The sequence below is a fragment of the Homo sapiens genome, chromosome 2, assembly GCF_000001405.40.
Source record: "Homo sapiens chromosome 2, GRCh38.p14 Primary Assembly".
Classification (NCBI taxonomy): domain Eukaryota; kingdom Metazoa; phylum Chordata; class Mammalia; order Primates; family Hominidae; genus Homo; species Homo sapiens.
Genome location: NC_000002.12, coordinates 241,207,927 through 241,232,795, shown reverse-complemented (window position 1 = coordinate 241,232,795; position 24,869 = coordinate 241,207,927). Strand labels below are relative to the sequence as shown.

At 56.5% G+C, this 24,869-nt stretch overlaps 2 protein-coding genes and 1 long non-coding RNA gene across 56 annotated transcripts in view, besides 7 other annotated features; 1 reads left to right on the top strand and 2 right to left on the bottom strand.

Annotated features, from left to right (window-relative positions):
* Positions 1-5,505, top strand: part of HDLBP (high density lipoprotein binding protein) — an 88,382-nt gene extending 82,877 nt beyond the window's left edge. For 19 of the 25 annotated variants that reach the window (NM_005336.6, XM_011511060.4, XM_011511058.4 and 16 more), the window contains 4 exons: positions 1,852-2,037; positions 2,527-2,643; positions 2,835-2,963; positions 3,109-5,505. In NM_005336.6, coding sequence (NP_005327.1) covers positions 1,852-2,037; positions 2,527-2,643; positions 2,835-2,963; positions 3,109-3,195 — 519 coding nt within the window. In that variant the 3' untranslated portion in view covers positions 3,196-5,505. The remainder of the gene's footprint in view (positions 1-1,851; positions 2,038-2,526; positions 2,644-2,834; positions 2,964-3,108) is intronic. The other 6 variants (XM_017003941.3, XM_047444077.1, XM_047444079.1 and 3 more) reach the window with 1 other exon arrangement.
* ANO7 (anoctamin 7) overlaps positions 1-24,869 on the bottom strand; it is a 51,632-nt gene that overhangs the window by 7,513 nt on the left and 19,250 nt on the right. For 8 of the 30 annotated variants that reach the window (XM_047444596.1, XM_047444598.1, XM_047444600.1 and 5 more), the window contains 14 exons: positions 23,368-23,511; positions 23,161-23,298; positions 22,403-22,501; positions 22,226-22,328; positions 20,591-20,702; positions 20,170-20,224; positions 17,894-17,991; positions 16,558-16,703; positions 14,905-15,110; positions 14,415-14,557; positions 9,520-9,610; positions 9,015-9,134; positions 8,841-8,891; positions 7,612-8,694 (listed from right to left, as the gene is read on the bottom strand). In XM_047444596.1, the coding sequence (XP_047300552.1) occupies positions 8,614-8,694; positions 8,841-8,891; positions 9,015-9,134; positions 9,520-9,610; positions 14,415-14,557; positions 14,905-15,110; positions 16,558-16,703; positions 17,894-17,991; positions 20,170-20,224; positions 20,591-20,702; positions 22,226-22,328; positions 22,403-22,501; positions 23,161-23,298; positions 23,368-23,511 (1,587 nt within the window). In that variant the 3' untranslated portion in view covers positions 7,612-8,613. Of the gene's footprint in view, positions 1-6,819; positions 8,700-8,840; positions 8,892-9,014; positions 9,135-9,378; positions 9,611-13,092; positions 13,210-13,979; positions 14,189-14,414; positions 14,558-14,904; positions 15,111-16,557; positions 16,704-17,893; positions 18,016-20,169; positions 20,225-20,590; positions 20,703-22,225; positions 22,329-22,402; positions 22,502-23,160; positions 23,299-23,367; positions 23,586-24,869 lie in introns of those variants that run through there. The other 22 variants (XM_047444599.1, NM_001370694.2, XM_047444603.1 and 19 more) reach the window with 19 other exon arrangements.
* LOC105376810 (uncharacterized) lies at positions 3,564-6,117 on the bottom strand. Its single transcript, XR_001739176.3, has 2 exons — positions 6,029-6,117; positions 3,564-5,904 (listed from the first exon to the last, which is right to left on the bottom strand). It is a non-coding gene; the product is annotated as an uncharacterized LOC105376810 (long non-coding RNA).
* Positions 7,816-8,776: an enhancer, noted in NCBI's record as "H3K4me1 hESC enhancer chr2:242163435-242164395 (GRCh37/hg19 assembly coordinates)". NCBI's record gives its function as "activates a minimal SCP1, AML or CMV promoter by ChIP-STARR-seq in naive H9 embryonic stem cells {active_cell/tissue: H9 hESC(naive)}" and the evidence as "EXISTENCE:reporter gene assay evidence [ECO:0000049][PMID:30033119]".
* Positions 8,898-9,067: an enhancer, noted in NCBI's record as "experimental_57796 CRE fragment used in MPRA reporter constructs". NCBI's record gives its function as "activates a minimal promoter by MPRAs in K562 erythroleukemia cells, with activity observed for both the introgressed and non-introgressed 2:242163229 or rs2305070 variant alleles {active_cell/tissue: K562}" and the evidence as "EXISTENCE:reporter gene assay evidence [ECO:0000049][PMID:34662402]".
* Position 8,982: a transcriptional cis regulatory region, noted in NCBI's record as "Neanderthal adaptively introgressed variant 2:242163229 (GRCh37/hg19 assembly coordinates) or rs2305070 in the experimental_57796 CRE". NCBI's record gives its function as "modulates activity of the experimental_57796 enhancer by MPRAs in K562 erythroleukemia cells {active_cell/tissue: K562}" and the evidence as "EXISTENCE:reporter gene assay evidence [ECO:0000049][PMID:34662402]".
* Positions 13,760-13,859: an enhancer, noted in NCBI's record as "active region_17420". NCBI's record gives its function as "activates an Ori minimal core promoter by ATAC-STARR-seq in GM12878 lymphoblastoid cells {active_cell/tissue: GM12878}" and the evidence as "EXISTENCE:reporter gene assay evidence [ECO:0000049][PMID:35858748]".
* Positions 15,203-15,332: a silencer, noted in NCBI's record as "silent region_12532". NCBI's record gives its function as "represses an Ori minimal core promoter by ATAC-STARR-seq in GM12878 lymphoblastoid cells {active_cell/tissue: GM12878}" and the evidence as "EXISTENCE:reporter gene assay evidence [ECO:0000049][PMID:35858748]".
* Positions 15,967-16,498: an enhancer, noted in NCBI's record as "H3K4me1 hESC enhancer chr2:242155713-242156244 (GRCh37/hg19 assembly coordinates)". NCBI's record gives its function as "activates a minimal SCP1, AML or CMV promoter by ChIP-STARR-seq in naive H9 embryonic stem cells {active_cell/tissue: H9 hESC(naive)}" and the evidence as "EXISTENCE:reporter gene assay evidence [ECO:0000049][PMID:30033119]".
* Positions 19,137-19,696: an enhancer, noted in NCBI's record as "H3K4me1 hESC enhancer chr2:242152515-242153074 (GRCh37/hg19 assembly coordinates)". NCBI's record gives its function as "activates a minimal SCP1, AML or CMV promoter by ChIP-STARR-seq in primed H9 embryonic stem cells {active_cell/tissue: H9 hESC(primed)}" and the evidence as "EXISTENCE:reporter gene assay evidence [ECO:0000049][PMID:30033119]".

Genomic DNA, 24,869 nt, shown 5'->3' with positions numbered 1-24,869 from the left:
GTTGCCCCAGGTGGAGTGCAGTGGCGCGATCTCGGCTCACTGTAACCTCTGCCTCCCGGGTTGAAGTGATTCTCGTGCCTCAACCTCCCAAGTAGCTGGGACTACAGCTGTGAGCCACCGCTCCCAGCCCAAGAGTTTAGCTCTTTTAAGCCCCTCACCCTTATTGCCTTTTATTTCCCTCTACTATTCTATATAATTATCAATCTTAAAAGTCATTATAGGTGAGTCACAGTGGCTCACGCCTGTAATCCCAACACTTTTGGAGGCCGAGGCGGGTGGATCCCCTGAGGTCAGGAGTTCAAGGCCAACCTGACCAACATGGCGAAAGCCTGTCTCTACTAAAAATATGAAAATTAGCCAGGCGTGGTCGCGTGCACCTGTAATCCCAGCTACTCGGGAGACTGAGACGTGAGAATCGCTTGAACGCAGGAGGCGGAGGCTGCAGTGAGCTGAGATCATGCCATTGCACTCCAGCCTGGGCGACAGAGTGAGACTCTGTCTTTAAAAAAAAAAAAAAAAAGTCATTGTTTAGCAATTAGACTATTCCATCTAATACACCATGAGCCAAGTGGGGTGGAGCAGTCATTTCTTCACAGGCAGCTTTTTCCTGTGAGCTGTGCTTCCGATCTTGAGGTTCTGTACCTGGCAGCACGCGGGTGGTGCCTGAGGCTGTCAGCTCTGCTGGGCCACGGTGGGTGGGGCTGCTGCCTCCCACTCTGGCATTTTGCTTCAATCTGGACAGAAGCTTCTTGGGCTGCTGCTCTGTTGTCTCTAGGTTAGGTCTTTCTGCTCATTTCCTTTCCAGGCATTTGTCCCTGTCCTCTAGTCCTGTTGCGTGATGATGGTTCCGTGTTGTGATTTGTCCCTGTCCTCTAGTCCTGTTGCGTGATGGTTGTGATTTGTCCCCGTCCTCTAGTCCTGTTGCATGGTGGTTTTTGTGTTGTGGACATGTTGTTTTCGCCGATTGTGGGCTACAGGTGTTTTGTTACCACGTTTCCTTCTCTATGCCCTGAACTGTCTGCTTGGTCTGCTTGTCTGCTATCCCAAGTCTGGTATGGTGTCTCCTGTCCATTTGTGTGGCCCAAGGAAGGCCTGAGCAGGTGGGATCTCTGAGTGAGGGAGGGGCTCGCTGAGGAATGCCAGCCAGCCTCCAGCCTCCAGCACAAAGATGCCTCCAGACTGTGGCCCACGTGGGCAAAGAAGCAGGAAGCTGAGGGGCTTGGGGCTTTGTCTTTGCCCCGCTGTCCTTGAGTCCAGAATTCTTGCCTGTTAGTGTCTCTCCTTTGTCTTTGAGGACAAATGTCCTTTTTCGTTCTGTAATTCACTGTCTTTTGGGTAGAGTTTGGGAAGAGATGGAAGCTGAGTGGACATAGGTTTTTTGTGGGGTGTTTTTTTTTTGTTTTTTTTTTTTTGAGATGGAGTTTTGCTCTGTTGCCCAGGCTGGAGTGCAGTGGCGCAATCTCGGCTCACAGCAACCTCCGCCTCCCGGGTTCAAGCAATTCTCGTGCCTCAGCCCCGGGAGTAGCTGGGATTACAGGCGTGCACCACCACGCCCGGCTAATATTGTATTTTTAGTAGAGGCGGGGTTTCTCCATGTTGGTCAGGCTGGTCACGAATTCCGGACCTCAGGTGATCCGCCTGCCTCGGCCTCCCAAAGTGCTGGGATTACAGGCGTGAGCCACCGTGCCCGGCCCTGAGTGGACATTGTTAACCTCTTGTTTTAAATCAGCCGTGACGTTGCTTTCCATCTTCTCTCCTGAGCTGTTTTCCTCAGCAGTGGGGGCCGGCTCTTGCCCCTGACGGGAATCCCAGTAAGGCATCCCCTTTTCTGACTACATTCTCCTTTTTTAGCCCCAGGACCAAATTACCATCACAGGGTACGAAAAGAACACAGAAGCTGCCAGGGATGCTATACTGAGAATTGTGGGTGAACTTGAGCAGATGGTTTCTGAGGACGTCCCGCTGGACCACCGCGTTCACGCCCGCATCATTGGTGCCCGCGGCAAAGCCATTCGCAAAATCATGGACGAATTCAAGGTGAGCCGGCTGGAAGCACAGTGGGTGAGAATCCTCTCTCACCGGGGGCACCTGGCTGGCCAGAAGAAAGAGCAGGGCATGGCCTTCCCCTCAAGATGATGAGGCCACAACCCCAGGGCTGGCAGTGGAACTGTCCTCATGGACACCACGGGTCAGTGCAGGCGACGGCCTGTGTGAGGCTGCACTGCCACGGTGGCCATTAGGAGGGCATCTCCTTGACAGCTGCCTGGCGAGCTCGTCCTCTGTGGGTGGGAATTTCATGCAAGAGCGCACAGTACGTGCTGCGGCCCTCTGTCTGCTGGGAACAAGGTGCTCCTGAGATACACCTAACTTGGTGTGGTGATGAGGCTGACTGACTTCAGAACAACTCTGAAACCAGATTTTAAAACGTTTGCTAACTCAGAAAATGCTTCACTAGAAATTGACACATAATTTTAACCCTTTTCCTCGCTTGGAGTCCCCTCATCTGACGTTGTACACCCCTTCCAGGTGGACATTCGCTTCCCACAGAGCGGAGCCCCAGACCCCAACTGCGTCACTGTGACGGGGCTCCCAGAGAATGTGGAGGAAGCCATCGACCACATCCTCAATCTGGAGGAGGAATACGTGAGTCTCTGTGGGCCTTGGAGCCCTGAGGCGCCCTGGCACGTCCACCGGCCTGAGGCCCAGCCAGGAGCTTCAGGGGACAAGGTGGCACTTGTGTTTCCAGAGGCAGGCGAGGTGCAGGGGTGAGCAGGCGGGCGGGATGCTGGGGGTGCTGGGCAGACTGACCCTGTCTTCCTGTCTTCTGCCTGCAGCTAGCTGACGTGGTGGACAGTGAGGCGCTGCAGGTATACATGAAACCCCCAGCACACGAAGAGGCCAAGGCACCTTCCAGAGGCTTTGTGGTGCGGGACGCACCCTGGACCGCCAGCAGCAGTGAGAAGGTCAGATGCGGGCTTCTGCCCTCCTGGGTCCCAGGGAGGGTGGGCGGGCAGGCGGGCTTGGTGTCCTGAGGGTGGCAACTGCGTCGGAAGCTGCTTGCGAGTTGGGGAGCATCCCCTCCTGAAGCCGTGTCCTCTCTCTGCACAGGCTCCTGACATGAGCAGCTCTGAGGAATTTCCCAGCTTTGGGGCTCAGGTGGCTCCCAAGACCCTCCCTTGGGGCCCCAAACGATAATGATCAAAAAGAACAGAACCCTCTCCAGCCTGCTGACCCAAACCCAACCACACAATGGTTTGTCTCAATCTGACCCAGCGGCTGGACCCTCCGTAAATTGTTGACGCTCTTCCCCCTTCCCGAGGTCCCGCAGGGAGCCTAGCGCCTGGCTGTGTGTGCGGCCGCTCCTCCAGGCCTGGCCGTGCCCGCTCAGGACCTGCTCCACTGTTTAACACTAAACCAAGGTCATGAGCATTCGTGCTAAGATAACAGACTCCAGCTCCTGGTCCACCCGGCATGTCAGTCAGCACTCTGGCCTTCATCACGAGAGCTCCGCAGCCGTGGCTAGGATTCCACTTCCTGTGTCATGACCTCAGGAAATAAACGTCCTTGACTTTATAAAAGCCAAACGTTTGCCCTCTTCCTTTCCCACCTCCCTCCTGCCAGTTTCCCTTGGTCCAGACAGTCCTGTTTGTGGAGTGCAATCAGCCTCCTCCAGCTGCCAGAGCGCCTCAGCACAGGTGTCAGGGTGCAAGGAAGACCTGGCAATGGACAGCAGGAGGCAGGTTCCTGGAGCTGGGGGGTGACCTGAGAGGCAGAGGGTGACGGGTTCTCAGGCAGTCCTGATTTTACCTGCCGTGGGGTCTGAAAGCACCAAGGGTCCCTGCCCCTACCTCCACTGCCAGACCCTCAGCCTGAGGTCTGGTGAGTGGAGCCTGGAGGCAAGGTGGTAGGCACCATCTGGGTCCCCTGTGGCCGTCACAGTGTCTGCTGTGATTGAGATGCGCACAGGTTGGGGGAGGTAGGGCCTTACGCTTGTCCTCAGTGGGGGCAGTTTGCCTTAGATGACAGCTGGGCTCTTCTTCACACCACCTGCAGCCCCTCCCTGCCCCTGCCCTAGCTGCTGTGTGTTCAGTTGCCTTCTTTCTACCTCAGCCGGCGTGGAGTGGTCTCTGTGCAGTTAGTGCCACCCCACACACCCGTCTCTTGATTGAGATGTTTCTGGTGGTTATGGGTTTCCCGTGGAGCTGGGGGTGGGCGCCGTGTACCTAAGCTGGAGGCTGGCGCTCTCCCTCAGCACAGGTGGGTCAGTGGCCAGCAGGCCCATCTGGAGTGGGAGTGGGCACTTCCACCCCGCCCACAGGCCATCCGGCTGTGCAGGCCAGCCCCTAGGAGCAGGTCCCGGGTGACTGGCAGTTTTCACGGTCTAGGGCCGAGACGATGGCATGGGGCCTAGAGCATGAGGTAGAGCAGAATGCAGACCACGCCGCTGGATGCCGAGAGACCCTGCTCTCCGAGGGAGGCATCTGTGTCATGCTGTGAGGGCTGAGGACGGGGCCCTAGTCTCTGGTTTTCTGGTCTTAACATCCTTATCTGTGTCCGCCACGGAGGTGACTGAGCTGCTAGCGAGTTGTCCTGTCCCAGGTACTTGAGTTTTGGAAAAGCTGACTCACGCCCATCCATCTCACAGCCCTTCCCTGGGGACAGTCGCTTCCGCCTTGACACCTCACTCTCAGTTGAATAACTCAAGCTTGGTCATCTTCAGACTCGAATTCTTGAGTAGACCCAGACGGCTTAGCCCAAGTCTAGTTGCAGCTGCCTCGGCAAGTCCCCATTTGCTCAGGCAGCCCTGAATGGGCCTGTTTACAGGAATGGTAAATTGGGATTGGAAGGAATATAGCTTCCAGCTTCATAGGCTAGGGTGACCACGGCTTAGGAAACAGGGAAAGAAAGCAAGGCCCTTTTCCTGCCTTTCCCGGGATCTGTCTACTCCACCTCCACGGGGGAGGCCAGTGGGGAAGGGCTGTCACCTCTTCCCCATCTGCATGAGTTCTGGAACTCTGTCCTGTTGGCTGCTTGCTTCCAGCTCCCCCCAATCTCCATCGCAGCGGGTTCCTCCTGTCTTTTCTACAGTGTCATAAAACATCCTGCCCCTACCCTCTCCCAAAGGTCAATTTTAATTCTCACCAAGTTTTGCACATCTCTGTATGTCGCTTGATGTCTTAGACGCGAGCCCTTTCCTAAACTGTTCAGCGCTCTCTTTTCCTTTGGGTGGTTGTTGCAAGGGTGATGACATGACTGTCCCCAGGCCTGTCTCCCTGAAGCGTCTGTGCTGTCAGGACAGCCCTGGGCAGAGATGAGGCAGGGGTGAGGCGTGCGTGTGCTTTTCCTCCTTGTTGGATGTCTTCCATATCATCTGTTTCCATAGCTACAATCCATCCCTTGGCCTTAACTTTGGAATTTGGAGATTATATGCAAACATGTGTAAAGGCTCATGAATATGGATGACACTGGAATTTTATAAATTCTAAAATAAAACCCGAAACCAGATGTAGCATGCTGGGACTCATTTTGTCACGCTGCCGCCTGTGTGTTCTCTTTCTCGTCACCCTGGAGTGGTGACTGGCATCTGTGGGTAGTTCGTCTTTGGTGTGATTTTCTCAGCAGTTCTCAACACTGTGTTCAACGGCCCCTCGGGAGCCACACTGAGGGAGACCCAGGTGTGGTCATGGCAAGAGGGTGGCTGCCTGTCCCTGTCCTCTGGCTGCCAGACAGTCAGCAGTTGCCCTGCAGCCCTCATTGAGGGTGGACAACCGTCCTTGTGGAGCAGCACCTGCCACTCCCTTTTAGGACTCTGCCAGCCTCAGTGGCATTCCTGGCACCCTGGACCCGGCCTGTGAGTTATGACGAGCTGAGTTGGGTGGTGGGGGGTGCGGGCGGAGGCCTCGGCTGGAGGAGGAGGAGGGAGGGGCGTTGAGTGGGAGGAGCCACCCCAGTCACCTGAGTGGCAGGAGATAACGGGAAGAGTCAAGAGGGAATAGGTGTTCCTGCTGCTGACTGGGCTGGTCCCCACCTGGGAAGACGGGTATGGCAGTTCCTCTTAAAGCCAAACATGTTGGCCGGGTACGGTGGCTCACGCCTGTAATCCCAGCACTTTGGGAAGCCGAGGTGGGCGGATCACGAGGTCAGGAGATCAAGACCATCCTGGCTAACACGGTGAAACCCCGTCTCTATTAAAAATGCAAAAAATTAGCTGGGTGTGGTGGCGGGCGCCTGTAGTCCCAGCTACTCGGGAGGCTGAGGCAGGAGAATGGCGTGAACCCGGGAGGCAGAGCTTGCAGTGAGCCGAGATCGTACCACTGCACTCCAGCCTGGGTGACAGAGCGAGACTCCATCTCAAAAAAAAAAAAATGCCGAACATGTTTATCCCTGACCCAGCAGTTCTGTTGGGCCCTAAATATGCAACCCACAGCAAAGCACACAACTGCAAAATGACCCTAAGCCAAACACGAAGCAGCCCAGCAGCCAGGAGGGGCTGAGATGGATGCTCGGCACGGATGGAGCTCGCGCAATGTCCCACGGCAGACGCCAAATGCAAAGTCCCCAGTTCCATCTCTGCTTGGTGGCTAAGGTGGTGGCTACTCTGGATGGGAAAGGGTCACAGGCAGGGTAGGGCGCATGTGGGCATCAGGGCCCTGGATGGGAGAGGGTCACAGGGTAGGGCGCACGTGGGCATCGGGGAGCTTCCACGTCGGGTGATGTGGAACTTGCCTTTTACCCACGTGCTGGTTACAACAGTTTGTTCACCTGGAAGCCTGTATGAACTGAGCATTTTCGTACGTTTCAATAAATTCACCTTAAAACTTTGGAGTTTAAGACAGCAACAATAAAAAGCAACCAGCTGGAAGGAAGTACACGTGGGTTTGTAGTAAGCATTGTGCTGAGCGAAAGCACACGTGGAATGGCTGAGCTCCCCATCTGTGTAAAGTTTCCAAGGTTCCCGCCCCGGGCCGTGTGTGCTGTCCGCCATGCTCCGGCCGGTGGTGTCCAGCCCCAGGGCGCTGTGAGCCTGCATCCCTGCCGGAAGAGCCCTTCCATGGAGGCAGGGCACAGTGCTCCTAAGAGGCAGGTGAACAAGTAGCAAATCCTCAAGAAATGCTACAAGCAAGCACGCCGCCCTCAGGCCAGGCATCACGGTGGGTGAAATAGAACGCAGGCGAGGATGTTCAGAAAGAGGCCTTTTCTGTGGAGTAAGTTTGGCAGTACTCATCAAAGCACATTAAAACCACATATTCTTTTTGTGTGTGTGTGTTCCCGAGACGGAGTCTTGCTCTGTCGCCCAGGCTGTAGTGCAGTGTTGAGATCTCAGCTCACTACAACCTCCGCCTCCCGGGTTCAAACGATTCTCCTGCCTCAGCCTCCCAAATAGCTGGGATTACAGATGCCCGCCACCACACCCAGAATAATTTTTGCATTTTTAGTAAAGACAGGGTTTCACCATGTTGGACAGGCTAGTCCCGAACTCCTGACCTTGTAATCCTCCTGCCTCAGCCTCCCAAAGTCCTGGGATTACAGGTGTGAGCCACCACGCTCAGCTAAAAACCACATATTCTTTTTGACACTTAAGTTCCACTTGTAGAACTCCAAGGACATCAATACAGATGAGCACAGATCCATTTTTTAGCAAGCAGACGGCCACACTGGGATTGCTGCGGGGTAGCAAGTTAGCCAGGGGAAGCTTCATGTGGCTCCCCAGCACAGGGCAGAACTGCACGTCACATTATGATCCAGCGTGGAAAACAATTATGTATGAACACAAACTTCTGGGGGAAGAGCCACCAGATGTTACAGGTATACACGTTTCCTCCTCTCATCCCAAAACCTCCCCCATTTGGGTGCTTGCTGGGTACTAGGCCCCAAGGAACAGAGGTAAAAACAGCAAGAGGGGCCCTGGGCCAGGGGCCAGGAGCTGGGAGAGGGAGGGAAGTTGGGCAAGGATCAAAAGGACACATGTAATTGCTGCAGAATGCAAGTAAAGCGGCACTGTCAGAGGCTGCCTGTAGTGGCTAGGGGGAAAGCAGAGCCTGATTCAAGAAACAGAAGAATCCAGAGGACCCAGATAACTGGGAATGGAGGGAGGGGTTCAACAGACCTTTGCTGTGGCCTGGGACACAGAGCTGCAGGGTCCGAGAGCTGGGGCATGTGGGTGATGTCCCTGCGCAAACAGGGCAGGAAGGGGCGGGTGGGTCCAGAGGACACGAGGGAGAACGGCCCTGCGCTCTGAAACATTCGAAGGTCACCAGGTGTAAGAGGAGAGGGCGATGTGGCCAGGGGCGGCGAGGACCACAAAGCCCACCTGCCTGAGGAGAACTGTCGTGTCCAGGGGCCTGGGGAGGCCACCGAGGGACAGGGTCCCTTGGGTGCAGGGGCCCCTTGGGCTTATGTCTGGGAGCAGGAAACAAAGAGGGCCTTGTGAGCTGACGGTCCCTCCCTGCCGGGGATGGAGTGACAGGCGCTCTGAGGAGAGAAGCCGGCGCTGGGGGGAAGCAGGCAATGTGCCCAGAGATGAGGCACAACAGCAGCCAGCGGTTCACACAGCCGCTGCCTGAGGGAAGAGGAAAAGGACGCTGCTCGCAGGGCTCAGGAGGGGCCACTCCCCTAAGGACCACCAGATGTCCTTCCAGGCGTCACTGCTGCAGCTGGCTGGCCTTGGGAACCGTGAAGGGTGTCCAGTGGGAGCTGAGCTGGGGAGAGGGTTGGGGGCAGGGACAAGTCAGACTAGGGCCAGGAGCAGGCCATGGCCACGAGGCACAGTGGGCGGCTGGGCAGGGCCCTGTGACCTCAGGGAGTGCACGGGGCAGGGGCCTGGCTGCTCCCAGACTTGCCTCTGAGCCCTCGGGCTGCTCATCCTTTGTTCCGTTCGTTCCAAAAAGAACCTGTCCCCAAAAAAGGGCAGCAAGAGGAAGAGGGATGTGACTCAGTGTCCGGAGGTAGAGCAGCCACTGACAAGGATAGGGAGAGGGCTGGGGGGAGGGCCGAGACTGGGCTGTACAGTTCACCTCATTCTCAGCCAGTGCCTGCTTAGCCAGGTAGTACTCCCGCTTCACTTTGATCTCCACAGACTCTGGGATGTCAGGCACCAGGAGGTCCAGGAGGCGGCCAACGGAGAAAACCACATGCTGGGAGCAGAGGAAGGCACTCACGCCCACCCAAACGCCCAGAGTGGCCTTCACAGGGCCAGGCAGGCCGGGGCTCCGGCACCTGCTCCCAGCTGTGGGTGGAGTCAGAAAGCAGCTGTGCAGGAAAAGGAACCCCAGAAGGGGCAGAGGCCACCCCAGCTTTCGTGGCCCTGGGGCTCCTGTGGAGACACCCACAATGTCCACACCACAACCCAGGGATGAGGCCAGGCAGGGAAAACGCAGGTGCAGAGAAGAGCTCTGATTTGACCAAGATGACACAGCAGGAAGTGACGGCACCGACCCCTCACCACGTGCTCGAATTAGGCAAAGCACAGGGTCGGGGCCTCATGCCATGGATGGGAGAACCAGCAGGTGCCTCGGCTACCTCAAACACAATGACGAAGGCCAGGCGGATGGCAAGAAGATTCCAGTAGGTCTGGGAATAATGTCCATCGTCATCCCGGAAAGCCCGATACCTGCAGCAGACACAGGACTCAGTGCGCGCAGCCAGGGCTGAGTGTTGGCTGGGCAGGTGCCTCTGGAATTAGCCTATCTCCCCTTTTTCCACCATTTCGCTCTCTCATCCCATGTTCCTGGCCTGGCTCTTCATCGAGGGTGCCTGAAATGGGAATTCTTCCCAAACAGGATACTCTGACAATACCTTTAACTGGTGGGTTCCAAAGGTGGATGTGCTGGGTTGTCCCCCATTGGGCTAAACTGGACCCTCCCCACCCCCCAGGTGGCAGATGCTTTATTTTCTAGTAGATGTGACAGTCCAGTACGTCTGTGCTTCTACGGATGACTTCAGTCTACTTACACGGTGAAAATCCGCCGATTGCTGACCTCTGTGAGATCAGCAGTTCACCTGCTCAGAGACTGTCCCTGTCCAGCAGAGCCCTCCCTCCCTATCATAAGCTACATTCAGCTTCACTTGCTATTTCAGACTTTGACATCTTCCTGTGTCTCTGTCCCATGGTAAAGATGTGACATTCCATTTTCTAATATAAAGTTACATGTTGCACTCCATGAAAACTATTACCAGGGTCAACTTTGTAGGAAAATAAAAAAAACAAAAAACCAAATATTGCAAGTTAAAAATATAGCCATTGGAAAAAAAATCCCTCAAATGAATGGAATAAACTTTTAAGTGGCCAGACACAGCAGAAGAGAGACTGGGGACTGGGAGACAGTGACGACGAGACCACCCTGCGGCAACACAGAGAGCACACTTGGGGGGAAGCAGGCCACAGCCCAGTGGGAGTTCCAGACGACAATGGACAAGCAGAGAAGCACTGCTGGAAGGAGTAAGATGGAGACATTTCCAGAACTAAACAAAGACGTAACTCTTTCAGCCGGGCGCGGTGGCTCATGCCTGTAATCCCAGCACTTTATTTATTTATTTATTTATTTATTTATTTATTTATTTATGAGACAGAGTCTCGCTCTGTTGCCCAGGCTGGAGTGCAGTGGCGTGATCTTCGCTTACTGCAACCTCCGCCTCCTGGGTTCAAGCGATTCTCCTGCCTCAGCCTCCTGAGTAGCTGGGACTACAGGCCCGTGCCACAATGCCCAGCTAATTTTTTGTATTTTTAGTCAAGACGGGGTTTCACCGTGTTAGCCAGGATGGTCTCAATCTTCTGACTTTGTGATCCACCGGCCTCGGCCTCCCACAGTGCTGGGAATACAGGCATGAGCCCCCGCGCCCGGCCATCCCAGTGCTTTAGAAGGCTGAGACAGGTGGATCACTTGAGGTCAGGAGTTCGAAACTAGCCTGGCCAACATGGTGAAACCTCCGTCTCTACTAAAAATATAAAAGAGTAGCTGGGCATGGTGGCAGGCACCTGTAATCCCAGCTACTCAGGAGGCTGAGGCAGGAGAATCGCTTGAACCTGGGAGGTGGAGGTTGCAGTGAGCCAAAATCATGCCACTGCACTCCAGCCTTGGCGACAAGAGGAAAACTCCATCTCAAAAGAAAAAAAAGAAATAATCCCTTCCCTAGGCCAAGTGCAGTGGCTCAACACTTTGGGAGGCTGAAGTGGGCAGATACCTGAGGTTCGGAGTTTGAGACCAGCCTGGCCAACATGGTGAAACCTTTGTCTCTACTAAAAATACAAAAAAAAAAAAATCATCTGGGTGTGGTAGCGCACGCCTGTAATCCCAGCTACTTGGCAGGCTGATGCACAAGAACCCAGGAGGCGGGGGTTGCAGTGAGCCCAGATCACACCACTGTACTCCAGCCTGGGTGACAGAGCAAGACTCTGTCCCAAAGAAAAAAGAGAATAGGACGGGCGTGAAAGGTGGCTCAGGCCTGTAATCCCAGCACTTTGGGAGGCCGAGGCAGGCGGATCACCTGAGGTCAGGAGTTCAAGACCAGCTTTGCCCACATGGTGAAACCTCATCTCTACTAAATATACAAAAATTAGCTGGGCATGGTGGTGGGCGCCTGTAATCCCAGCTACTTGTGAGGCTGAGGCAGGAGAATCGCTTGAACCCGGGAGGCGGAGGTTGCGTGCAGTGAGCCAAGATCGCGCCATTGCACTCCAGCCTGGGCAACAGAGCAAGACTCCGTCTCAAAAAAATAATAATAAAATAAAATAAATAAAAAAATAAAAATATCATTTTCTTTGATTTGTTTCACCAGCAGGCATCTGTAAAGGTAGTGCTTTTTTCTTTTTTTCTTTTTTTTTTCCTGAGACAGCGTCTCATTCTGTTGCCCAGGCTGGAGTGCAGTGGCGCCATCTCGGCTCACTGCAACCTCCGCCTCCCGAGTTGAAATGATCCTCCTGCCCCAGCCTCCAGAGCAGCTGAGATTACAGGCGTGAACTGCCACAGCCAGGTTTTGTTTGTTGTTCTTGTTTTTCTGAGACGGAGCCTTGCTCTGTTGCCCAGGCTGGAGTGCAGTGGCACAATCTCGGCTCACTGAAAGCTCTGCCTCCTGGATTCACGCCATTCTCCCGCCTCAGCCTCCCGAGTAGCTGGGACTACAGGCGTCCAGCACCACGCCCAGCTAATTTTTGTATTTTTAGTAGAGATGGGGTTTCACGGTGTTAACCAGGATGGTCTTGGCCTCCCAAAGTGCTGGGAACATAGGCATGAGCCACTGTGTGCAGCCTTTTTTTGTATTTTTAACAGGGATGGAGTTTCACCATGTTGGTCAGGCTGGTCTCGAACTCCTGACCTCAAATGATCCACCTGCCTCGGCCTCCCAAAGTGCTGGGATTATAAGCATGAGGTACCATGCCCAGCCAGAAAAATTCTTAAATGCTATGAATGCTTCCAATCAGAAAAGCCAAGTCACAAAAGAATAATATTTCCAAAGAACTGAGAGAAAATAACTCGACCTATACTTTTATATCCGCTATTTGAAGGACAAAAATGCATGGCAATATTATCATACATATGCGTGATACATATTTCTATGCATACATATGTGTATGCATTTCTGCATGTGAAGACCCCACTAACCACATACCTTTACTGAAAGAATTACTAAAGGATATACTTCAGCAAGAAAAAAAAGACTCGGAGAAGGCAATACATAAGAAATTACTGTAACCACAGAAGTTAACAAAATACACAAATAAATTTGATGAACAGATGACTGAAAATGTTTTTTCATGTGTGTTTTTAACAGTAAAACTAAAACTCCATGTAACAATAATAAGATGGAGAGATTGCTGCTTACTAGGTGGTAAGGCATGTGAAGATCCTAGTCATACACAGAGAGAGGAAACAAAACTGAGTTCATTCAGGCTTTGTTAGGATAATATATAGTTTAGAACGTGTGCTAGCCGGGTGTGGTGGCTTGTGCCTGTAATCCCAGTGCTTTGGGAGGCCAGGGCATTGCTTGAGGCCAGGAGTTTGAGACTAGCCTGAGTAACATAACATAGTAAGACCCCATCTCTTTAAAGAAAAAAAAAAAAAAAAAAAGCCAGGCCTGGTGGCACACGCCTGTAGTTCTGGCTTCTCGGGAAGCTGAGGTGGGAGGATTGCTTGAGCCCAGGAAGTCTAGGGTGCAGTGAGCTATAATTGTGGCAGTGCATTCTAGAATGGGATACAGAGCAAGACCCAGTCTCTAAAAAAAAAGAAAAAAGAAAAGAATGTATGCTAAACATATGAGTAACCCCTAAAATAATAGAAATATATGCCATCGGTTCCAAATAAGCAAAAGAATAATAATAAAAAAAACAACCAGAACACTTTTACCCATCCACCAGAAGTCAGGAGAGGAGGAATAAAAAAGATAAAGAATAAAAGGAAAAAGTAAGTATCCATTATGAAGAGATCACAAGTATGAATTCGTACACAACTAAAAAGCTCAAAATACATAGAGCAAAAGCAAAACCTGAGAGAGACCGATATGAAAAGACTGATAACCCTATGGTTTCGTAATTTTACTGCTGAGATTTGCTCCAACATTAGGAGACTATGATGCTTTTCAAGTTTATTGAAACACATGCAAAACTTCATTGTAACCAGATCACAAAGGAAGTCTCCACAACTGCGGGTGAAGTACATCTACCTGCTCTGCAGGTTCTATTATGGTATGAGGCCACCACTTCTCCTGTTGTCCTTCCCAGTTTCTCCCCAACCTCCCCTTTTCCCTAGTTTATAAGACAGGAGAAAAGGAAGAAAGCAAAAAGCTGGAAAGAAACAGAAGATAAATAGCTAGATGACCTTGGCGCCACCACCTGGCCCTGGCGGTTAAAATAACAATAATATTAACCCCTGACCAAAACTACTGGTGTTATGTGTGAATTCCAGACGCTGTATGAGAAAGCACCGTAAAACTTTTTGTACCGTTAGCTGATGTATGTAGCCCACAGTCACGTTCCTCACGCTTACTTGATCTATTATGACTCTTTCACGTAGACCCTTAGAGTTGTAAGCCCTTCAAAGGGCTAAGAATTTCTTTTTCGGCGAGCTCCGCTCTGAAGACACGAGTCTGCCGACGCCCCCGGCCGAATAAAAAAACCTCTTCCTTCTTTAATCCGGTGTCTGAGGAGTTCTGTCTGCGACTCGTCCTGCTACACTATGACCAACTAGCAATTCACCTAGAATCCACGATTTGCCCTCCAGCCCCGCAAAGCTCCGTCCCTTACCGCGGGGAACCTCCCCCCAGCCCCTGCCCACGGCGCCCCCAGCTCCCCCCCTCCCCCGGCCTTGCCCGGCGGCGCCCGCCCCTCCCGGCTCCCCACCGCCGCACCCCCACCCCACCCGAGCCCCGCTCCGCCTCGTCCTCGTGCGCCCGCGGCCCCCTCCACCTGGCGCGGGGCTCACCTGCACGTGCGGTTGTGCGCGGCGGCGAAGGAGGACGGGGCTCGCGCCAGCGTGAAGTTGAGGAAGCCGCGCAGGTCGTGGGCGCGGGTCCACCGGTAGTAGGCGCGCGGCAGGAAGTCGGACGAGAAGGCCAGGAGGAAGGCCTGGGCGCCGGAGGGGTCAGCGCGAGGCGGCCCCCGCTCCGCCCCTGCGCGCCCCCGCTCCGCCCCTGCGCGCCCCCGCTGCCCCCCCGCCCCGCCCCTGCGCGCCCCCGCTCCGCCCCTGCGCGCCCCCGCTGCCCCCCCCGCCCCGCCCCTGCGCGCCCCCGCTGCCCCCCGCCCCTGCCCGCCCCCGCCGCCCCCCCGCCCCGCCCCTACGAGCCCCCGATGCCCCCAGCCCCGCCCCTGCGCGCCCCCGCTGCCCCCGGCCCGCCCCTGCGCGCCCCCGCTGCCCCCCCCGCCCCCGCCCCTGCGCGCCCCCGCCCCGCCCCGCGCTCCCGCCCGGGCCTCACGTTGCTGATGACCGCCAGGTGCGTGAGGCCCGCCAGGATGTGGAACCAGATGCCGATGTCCTGGGCGCGCTCGGCCACCGGGCGCCGGTACTCGCAGACGAACTTGCGCGCGTCCAAGCGGATCTCCACCCAGTTGTTGAGCAGGGCGAAGAGCGGCGCGAGCGGACAGGCGGCCACGAAGATGGTGACGAAGCCGAACTGCAGCACTGCGGGGAGGGGGTCACGGCCGGGCTCTCCGCCACCGTCCGCCCTCAGCCCTCGGAACGCGCCCCCCGCGGAGGACCGGCCAGTCCACGTGGTGCCGCCACCCCATCGCGGCTCATTCCGCCCCCACCTCCTGGTCTCCCTCGTCCTGGACCGCGCAGCGCCAGGGCCGCCTCTCCTGACCGGCCTCAGGCCGGCTGTCCTGCCCTGCGCTCCGTGCTTCTGGCTGGTCACGGGCCTTCTCCGGCTCGGTGAGCTCAGGAACTAACTCAGGGCAGGCGTTGGGGCAGAAACCTGCTCCTGATTTTACAACCAGCTTCTCCAGTCACCCCACAGGGGAGCTGTTAGGAGAGGGCTCTTTGGAAGGGGCTTCTGGGTCTTCGCCGAGAATTACTAGTGAGATCATTGGGGTCCAGGGTTCAGTGGAGGAGGGTCAGGGCGTCCACTCCTCGCCCTGGGAACTGGCCTGCTCCCTTTCCACAGATGCCGCGGCTACGCTGGGGAGCTCCGGGGCCTGCCGGCTCACATGCCCGCTTGCTAGGTTAAGAGCTGCCTGCCGGGCACAGTTTCTCACGCCTGTAATCCCCAGCACTTTGGGAGGCTGAGGCAGGTGGATCACCTGAGGTCAGGAGTTCGAGACCAGCCTGGCCAACACGGTGAAACTCCGCCTCTACTAAAAATACAAAATTAGCCGGGCGTGGTGGTGGGCGCCTGTAATCCCAGCTACTCGGGAGGCTGAGGCAGGAGAATTGCTTGAACCTGGGAGGTGGAGGTTGGAGTGAGCCGAGATGGCGCCACTGCACTCCAGCCTGGGCGACAGAGGGAGACTCCGTCTCAAAAAACAAAACAAAAACAAACAAACAAACTGCCTGATGATTCCTTCTCCCTTTTGTCAGCTCAGAGTCAGACCCTGCACTGCAGGGACGGCACAGGTGATACAGACCCACCCTCCAGAGTGCACCACCCGTGCAGGCAGTGAGCCCCTGGCACTGGCCACCACCTGGTAAGGTGACAGTGGTAGGTCTGCAAATAGCGTGGGCATTGAGATTTCTGGGAACATTGGCTCTCCAGGCCGCTGCCTCCCACTGTGGCTTCACCCTTGGAGGACTTCTGTCAGCCCCCAGGGCCTGCTCTCCTAATTCTTCCCTTGCTCTGGCCCATGCTTTCTAGGTCCAGGGACCCCAGGGGAGCTCTGCAACGGCCGCGGGGGCCTCCTCCCCGTGCCGGTGCCCCTCTGTCCTCAGCCAACCCTCTTGGGCACTCTCAGGGGAAAAGAATTCCTTTCTGGATTCTCCACAGGCCCGACCCTCTGTTCCCACCCCACCCCCACAGCACATTTCAGGGCAGATGCAGACACAGGAATGTCAGGCTGGGAGGCCCTTGAGCAGAGTGGCCACCCATCCCTGCCCACGGCGCCAGCCATTGCCGCAGCTGCTAACGGGCTCCTACCCATTTCCAGGTACTCGTCAAACAGACCCTCACAGGGCACAAGCTCATAGTCGTCCTCCCAGGGCCCCTGGCTAGCCCCTGCAGAAGCTCCCGCCTTCCTCTTCTTGGAGCGAAGCCGGAACTTCTGCCACCAGCCCTTTAGCTTCCTGGGGACGGGAATACAGGAAAATGGCCTTTGATCCAACATGGGTCTCAGTGGCTGCTATAGTCCTTGGGGGAGATGTGGCCGGGACAAGCCTGTTGCTTTGCAATTGAAGGGCAGCAGGGAGGGATGGGGTCTGGGGCTGAGGGGTGGACGCAGTGAGAGCCAACAGCTTTGCAGATCGGACTCAGTGAAAGCGTCTGTGTCTGTTGGTCAGATGTGGGAGGGCAGTCCACCCGCCCAGCCCCCCGCATTGTTCCTTAAGGCTTTAGGGGTAATGGGCTCCTCCCGGAATTGCAAAGCAGTGCCAAGAGCTCTGCCAAGGTTGGGAGGGAGTGGACGAGGACGACTGTGGTGTCCCAGGGAAAGCAGATGTGGAGGCCCACGTGTTGGGTTCGTCCTACACAGGGGCATGTGTGCATGTTGCCTTATCACACTGTCACTCATCCGTGCCCTGCTCCTGCCAGGCACAGAGCTCCACCCTGCACCTTATGGTCTTGTGGTTTCACAGCACCAATAGTTCCAAGAGGCAGGGCCATCTCTCGGGATGTGGCATGGCCACCATCTCCCAACTGCTATTCCTGGTGGCCCAGAAATGTCAGTGCTGATTTGGGAGCTGCCTTCTGGGGGCAGATCAGGTGTTCAGGGGGCGCTGGGAGGGCGTTCAGGTCAGTCTGGCCTTGAGCGGGAGGCGAGGCCCTGGGCAGCCTCTTTGAAGGACTCTGGCTATGGGAGCCTTGTGGTCAGGGTGTCCCTGGCAGGGGCATCTGAGGCAGACGTGTGTCTGAGGATCAACCCTGGGACCTCCTTTTCCTCCTCCCTCTTGTGCTGCGTTGGGGCCTGGGGATGCCAAGGAATACTCTGGCCCAGCCGCAGCATCTCTGAACGGACAGAGCCATCACCCCAGCCTTGGGTCCAGGAGCCCAGACCCCCTCCCCAGCCAAAGCTGGTCCCAGGGGTAGCGTCTCCCACAACTACAACCCAGAAGACCTCAGCCAGCCACAGGGCAGCTGCAGGGCGGGCAGCCCAGAGCCCGGGGCAGACGGCCGGGCACACTCCCCCTCCCCCTCCCCAGGCAAGGTGCCTTCCCTTCACCTCTTCTCCCAGCTAGGGCCGGGCTGGAGGCTGCTACTGCCAGGTGCTCTGGGGTCCCTCGGTCCTTGGATGCCACCCAGGGAGGAGTGGGGGACTCACGGGATGAGGACCTCCTGCATGTTGTTGATGACCTGCTTGCCCACCATGATGACCAGGAGCTCCTGTGCCAGCTCGATCAGGCAGCCTCCAGCCGCGCACTACGGCAGCAGGGCTCAGGTTAGCTGGGAGAGGGGGACCAGCCACTCACCCACGCATCCCTTCTTGTCTCAAAGCTGGCCCTCATCCCGGCCCCCACCTCCCTCCTGACATGCCTTGGGCACCTGGAGGGTTGCAGAGATGCTCCCACCATAACACTCCCTCCCGACCTCACAGGAGCCCCCAGGTCCAGCTGGAAGACTGCATTGGAAAGCTGCAGGGGGCACTGCTATATGTACCTAATGGCACCCCAGTTTTCCTTTGGAGACCCACAAGGGGTTACATGGGGCTGACTGTAGCCTCTGGCTTCAAGACAGACCCACGAGGCAGGCCCCACCAATCGGTGACCCAGTTCGAGCCAGTGGGAGGTGGAGTTCCTGGGAACACGTGCCTTGCAAGGGGTGCTAAGTCCGAGAGTGTCGGCCGCACTGCAGGGCACCTTCCCTCCAGATGGGGATAATCTTTCTGAGAACACAGGCAATGCTGGGAATAGCAGTGCAGCATTTTTAACACCTGGATCATTCATACCTAAGCCCGCGTAGCCCTGAGCGTTTTCAGTACAGGAGCCAAGAAAACTCCCTGCAGCCTCCACCTCCTGGGTTCAAGCAATTCTTCTGCCTCAGCCTCCCGAGTAGCTGAGACTACAGGTGCGTGCCATCACGCCTGGCCAATTTTTGCATTTTTAGTAGAGACGGGATTTCACCATATTGGCCAGGCTATTCTCGAACTCCTGACCTCATGATCCACCTGCCTTGGCCTCCCAAAGTGCTGGGATTACAGGCATGAGCCACCACGCCTGGCCGAAAACTCCCTTTTTCGTTTAAGCCAGTTTGAGTTGGGAACTTTTCCCACTTAACAATTGAGAGCCCTCTGGCTGGTCCGTTGTGGCACCCGCAGCCACACTCCCCACTCCATCCCCAGCCTTCCCTTTCCCCTCTCACATGAAATGGACACCACCCCTTTGGGGGCAGCCACTTTGCAGTTGGGCTGGCTCATGGCCCAGACCCCATGCGAAGTTTCTCTCCTCCTCCTCCTCTTCCAAAAGGAGAAGAGGTCTTTCAGGCCAGGGGTCACTCAGCAGGGGTCCACTTAGGTCCCAGCCCAGCCCAGAGGCCACCTGTGGATGGCTCCAGATGCACCCACCCTGCTGCCTGCGACCCCAGCTGCTGGGACATGCCTGGCCCTCACCCAGGAGGGGCTGTGCGTCGGGAACAGTTTTGAGGGCTTCTCTACGGTGTCTTGGAGGGGCTGTGGCACAGTGGAGACTACTTCTGGGGTGATGCACACGTCAGTTACTTGCACCAGAATCTCTGTCTTGGGGTCTGCTTTGCAGGGACCCCCGTGACAACAACGCTTCATCCTCCACCAGGTGAACTTCCATTTGCTTTCTGAAAAACCAGGTTCACGCCTGGCTCTCAGAGATACGGAGTAGCTAAGGCTCTTAGAGATACAGTCACAGGCAGAGCCCACTGTGCTGATGGGGAGAGGACAGCTGGCCACAGGGAGATCCCTGACAGCCATGGCGGCAGCACGCCAAGCCTGTGAGGAGGCCAGCCCCTGCGACCCCTGTGTGCCATGAGGAGGCCAGCCCCTGCGGGCCGTGTGCCATGAGGAGGCCAGCCCCTGCGGGCCTGTGTGCCATGAGGAGGCCAGCCCCTGCGGGCCGTGTGCCATGAGGAGGCCAGCCTCTGCGGGCCTGTGTGCCAGAGGCTCTGCGCCCACCGTAATGGCTCACACTTTTCTCAGGTGTGAATTGGGTTAAAATGGGGAAAGAGTAATACGGGCTGGGACAGCTGGGGTGGGGTAGGGTTTTTGGTTTGCTTTTTTATTAATTTTTGTGGCGATGAGGACTCACTATGTTGTCCAAGCTGGTCTCGTACTCTTGGGCTTAAGCGATCCTCCTCCCTCAGCCTCCCTAAGTGCTGAGATTACAGGCGTGAGCCACTGTGCCCGGCCTGGAGTGTTTTGGTGTGGTTCTGAATGGGGCATATCGGGGGTCAGAATAAGTGGTGAAGAGAGGCTGGGAGCCCTGAGTGGTCAGCTGCACAGCTGGCCCTGGCTGGGCGATGGAAATAGCCGGTGGTGGGAGGAATTGCTGCAAATCAAAGCTCGAATGGAAGAATGGAAGTGAGAGGAAGCACACAGCTCATCCCCCAGTCCCGGGCCTCAGGCACACTCACCTCCTCATTGCGGACTCCAAACAAGGTGTGGTAGTTGCCTGGGTATCCCACAAACCTAGGAGAAAGTCAAGATCATGAGCCTTGATGGGATCCTTCCTGTCTCCTCCCACTTCCCTGGGCTCTGGAGGCCTCAGCAGAGCTGCTGCACCTGCCCTGGAGGAAGCACGAACTGTGGCGTAGAGTCCCGGTTGTGAGCTGGGCCTCCTGTGGACCCCCGAGCTGGGTAGGGACCAAGAGGTGGGCAGCCCCTGTTTGCTCAGAGGTGCCAGGAGGCATGGGCCCCTGTCCCCTGCCTGGGTCTCCGGTTCCGTCCTCCACCTGCCTGAGCACGGCTGGATGACGCCTGGTACCCAGGCAGCGGGAAACATGAGCAGAACTAAGCCGGGACAAGCTGTGGCCAGAGGGAGAGGTGCCCACCAACCTGCCCTTGAAGAAGGCAATGTAGACGGGTGAGGAGTAGAAGTTGACGAACTGGAAGATGAACACCTTGAGGGTGAAGGCGTCCTCGAACTTGGTCTGGGTGCGGTGCATTTCTGTGGCATGGAGAGCCTGGGCTCAGTCCCTGGGGGAGTCACCAGCATCCAACTAGGGGCCCCCTCTCCTAGGACCACCTTGCCACACACGGGTGAGGAAAAGGCCATATCATCCAGATATTTAAAAGAAGGAGACAAAGTGTGACATTTCCGAAGTCACCCAAAAACATGTTGATTAACAGGAGTTGGGAAAATTGATAATACCCTATATCCCAACACTAATAATGAATGTGGTGCACACGGGTGAGTGGTCAGGGGATGGGTCAGAGAAACAGAATAGAGGCTCGGTGCCAAGGCTGCGCAGCGGACTGGGCTCCGGTGCAGGTGCCGGAGGCAGGAGCATCAAAGGCTGAAGGTTACAGGAGGGAAAGAGGGAGGCTCAACACCCCACAGCAACCCCACAGTTGCAGAAACAAATGGGTGGCTCCCCTCAGAGCCCTACCCTTGGCCATCCAGAACCAGGAACCTCTCCCTGAGACACCTGCCACCTGCAAAGGTCTTTCCCTGACACCCACCTTCCCCTGGCCACCCACCAGGAGGCACTTCCTCCTCAGCACTTAAGCCCTCTCCCATTCTCTGTAGCTGTGCAGGCAGCCAGTTCTGTCCCCTCTCCTAGAACCTGGGCTCCAGGGTGGGGCTGCCAGCTTTTGTTCAAGACTATTCACCCCCAGGGCTAGAGCAGGGCTAGTGAGAGGCAGCAGCTTATGGAATGAATAGGTTGGTCGTAAGTGTTTGTCCTCAGGAAATGAGACAGAGAAAAAGACCGATGGGAGAGGAAGGGGGAGGGAAGAACTGAGAGGTGGCTGCCCAGCCCAGCAGCCGATACCCCACACCACCCAACAGAGGCTCAGCGGCCCTATCCTAGAGGGACATCTCCCACCTGGGGGACCTTGCAGCCTGGAGGGGGGCCCTGTGGAGGGGTGAGAACTCTTTGGGTGCTGGAGTGCCCCCAGGGTCTTTTATCTCCAGGAAGGCCCTGCTCACTGCTCTTTTAAGGGGGCCTCTGGGGAGGCTCAGACAACTCCAATCTGTACCACATTTAGAAATAGGGAGCACTGGCTTCCTAACCCAGGGATTGTTTGTGTCCCACCTGGGGTGCCAAAAACAAAAAATAAGAGAAAGAAAACCAGGTGCTGTGGCTCATGCCTGTAATCCCAGCACTTTGAGAGGCCTAGGCAGGAGGATCCCTTGAGGCCAGGAGCTCGAGACCAGCCTGAGCCACACAGTGAGACCCCTGTCTCTATCAAAAAAAAAAAAAATTTCAGCTGGGCACAGTGGTCCAGGTACTGAGGAGGCTGAGGCAGGAGGATCCCTTGAGCCTGGGAGGTCAAGGCTACAGTGAGCCATGATCGTGCCAGTGCACTCCAGCTTGGGCAACAGAGTGAGATCCTGTCTCAAAAGAAAAAAGAAGAAAGAAATAGAAATGAGGGCCATGTGTGTCAGTGAGTGAGAAAGTCACGTTCTGGCTGGCGGCCGGCAGGGTGGGCCCCTGGTCAGTGCCTGGCCGGCCTCAGCCCACTCACCCCATCGTGTCAGGACGTGGGCCAGGGATACATAGATCTTGGAGAGGATGAGGATGAAGACGAGGTTCACTACAGACCCCGTGAGGCTGGCGATGCGAGAGGCCTAACGGGAGACAGGCCGTCAGAGCCGGATGAGGGGCCGCTCAGGGCCCCCCGAGGCAGGCAGCAGAGGCTCACCCAGGCTGCGAGAAGGGTGTTGCCCGACCTGGACACCACGATGGCCATGATGGCACGGTACAGGATGATAGACACGAGGCACATGACCACCACGGCCACCTGCGGGGGCAGGGAGGCCCGTGAGACCCTTCACGGTGTCTTGGGCACCCCAGCACCCTCAGGCCATGGCCCCCGACAGCTCTTCTAGTCCACTGCTGGCCCCAGCACTGCCACCTCTAGGAAGGCCCCTGCCTCCAGCCCCGGCTGTGCTCCCAGGCTATGTCCTTCCTGATGAGTTGCTCAGGCAGAGGTGGGGTGGGGTTAGAGTTAGAGGCTGGGCCACATCTGGGTGTCAAGGCAGCCACTGTGAGTGTTGGAGAGCCATCCCATCCCAGGAATTGGGGATTCCTGACATCTTGGCAGGGGAGTGAGAGGTCCTATTAGGAAGCCCCTTTGGCTGGAAGGCAAGACAGGGTGCAGTGAATGGCCCTGCTGGGGTGCCCGCCTCTCTTTTCCTTGAAACCAACCCCCTTGCTTGAAAAATGCCCCATGCCCGCACCCACGGGGAGACCCTCCCAGGCCCTCCGTATGACTCACACCTGCTCTCAGCCGGGACCCCACGGCCGAGCCCGGGCACATGGGGGCCTCTCTGCGGGGAGTGAGGGTTCTGTGCCCAGAGGAGGCATCTGGCCACGGCACCAAGGTGAGATGGGGGACAAAACCACCCCACATGGTGCAGGAGGATGGAGGCGTGAGCGGAGGGCAGGGGGACCGCATACCATCACCACGATCACCACAGAGCCGGCCAGCATGCGGCGCGCGCGGCTCCTCTCAGGGAAGTAGGGCTCGTCCTCACCCGTGATGGGGTTCGGGGCTGTCATGGGGGCTGAGGCGGCAAACTGGGGCCGAGGCCTCTCCTGGAAGGGAGCCGGTGCTCAGTGGCGGCCCTCGCCGGGTGTGACCGTGGTCCAGCGGGGGTGGCTCACCTCAGTGTCCTCGTAGTCAGAGCAGTCCCAGCGGTAGGCCAGCGTGGCGCTCTTCCGCTTCCAGTACTCCAGCAGCAGCACGGCCCACAGTGCCATGAACAAGCTGAAGAACACGGTGCCGCCGTGGTCGAACAGCCGGCCGGCCTGTGGCAGGGAGCGGGGGCGTCCAGACTTGCTTGGGACTGGAGGCCCCTTGTTCCTTCCAGTGTTCCTTCCTCCTGGAATGGGAGTGTGCATCCCACACACATCCCCCGACTGTGTATTTTTTGTTTGTTTGCTTGAGACGGAGTCTGGCTCTGTCACCCAGGCTGGAGTGCAGTGGCGCGATCTCGGCTCACTGCACGCTTCGCCTCCCGGGTTCACGCCATTCTCCTGCCTCAGCCTCCCAAGTAGCTGGGACTACAGGCGCCCGCCACCACGCCCGGCTAAATTTTTGTATTTTTAGTAGAGACGAGGTTTCACCGTGTTAGCCAGGATGGTCTCGATCTTCTGACCTTGTGATCCACCCGCCTTGGCCTCCCAAAGTGCTGGGATTACAGGCGTGAGCCACCGTGCCCAGCCCCCTGACTGTGTTTTGGAAGCACAGACCCACAGAGGGAGAGGAATTTTGCCTCAGGACGGCTCACACCCAGGTCTCACCCACACCTGACTTTGAGGATGCGATTTGGGACTTTCTGAGCTGATATTTTCATGAGGTTTTGGACCTAGAGTTAATGCTGTAAGAGGTTGAGACTTTGGAGGATGCTGGGATGAGGTGAGTGTATTTTGCACGTGGGATGGACATGAAGTTTTGGAACCAGAGGATGACCTGTAGTGAGTTGAATTCTGGCCCCCAAAAGATATGTTCGTTGGGAACCTCAGAATGTAATCTTATTTGAATAAGGGCCTTTGTAGATGTAAGGTAAGGATCTCCAGATGAGAGTACTCTGGACAAACCCTTACAAGAGGGGAGAAGAGGAACCAGCACGCAGACACAGAAGGGAAGGCCAGGTGGAGATGGAAGCAGAGATTGGAATGAGGCGGCCACAAGCCAGGGAGGACCAAGGACTGCCAGCAGCACCAGAAACCAGGAGAGAGGCCTGGGGCTGAGTCCCCAGAAGTGGCCAAGCCTGCCAACAGCTTGATTCTGGACTCTGGCCCCGGGCCTGTGAGAATAAGCTTCTGCTGTTTTAAGTCCCCATTTGTGGTCCTAGGAAACATCCAAGTGGATTCCCAGAAGTGAGGTCAAACGGCGTCTGGCCCACCAGTAGTGCCAAGGGCTCTGGGTCCAGTGCATGTGGGGTACAAGCGAGGCCCTGAGGCCCCTGGGAAGGTGGACAGACCCAGGAAGCATGCCAGGCGGGAGGGGGGACAGTGGGGCTCAGAGACTGCAGGAGCCTCCCGCCCAGGTCTTGTAAGTTGGGAATTCTGCTCAAAACCTTTGGTTTTGCCTGTGCCCTGGGGTCTCCAGGGTTTGTCCGCCTTGGAGCCAAGGGCCAGGTGCCCCCAGAGTGCCAGAGCTA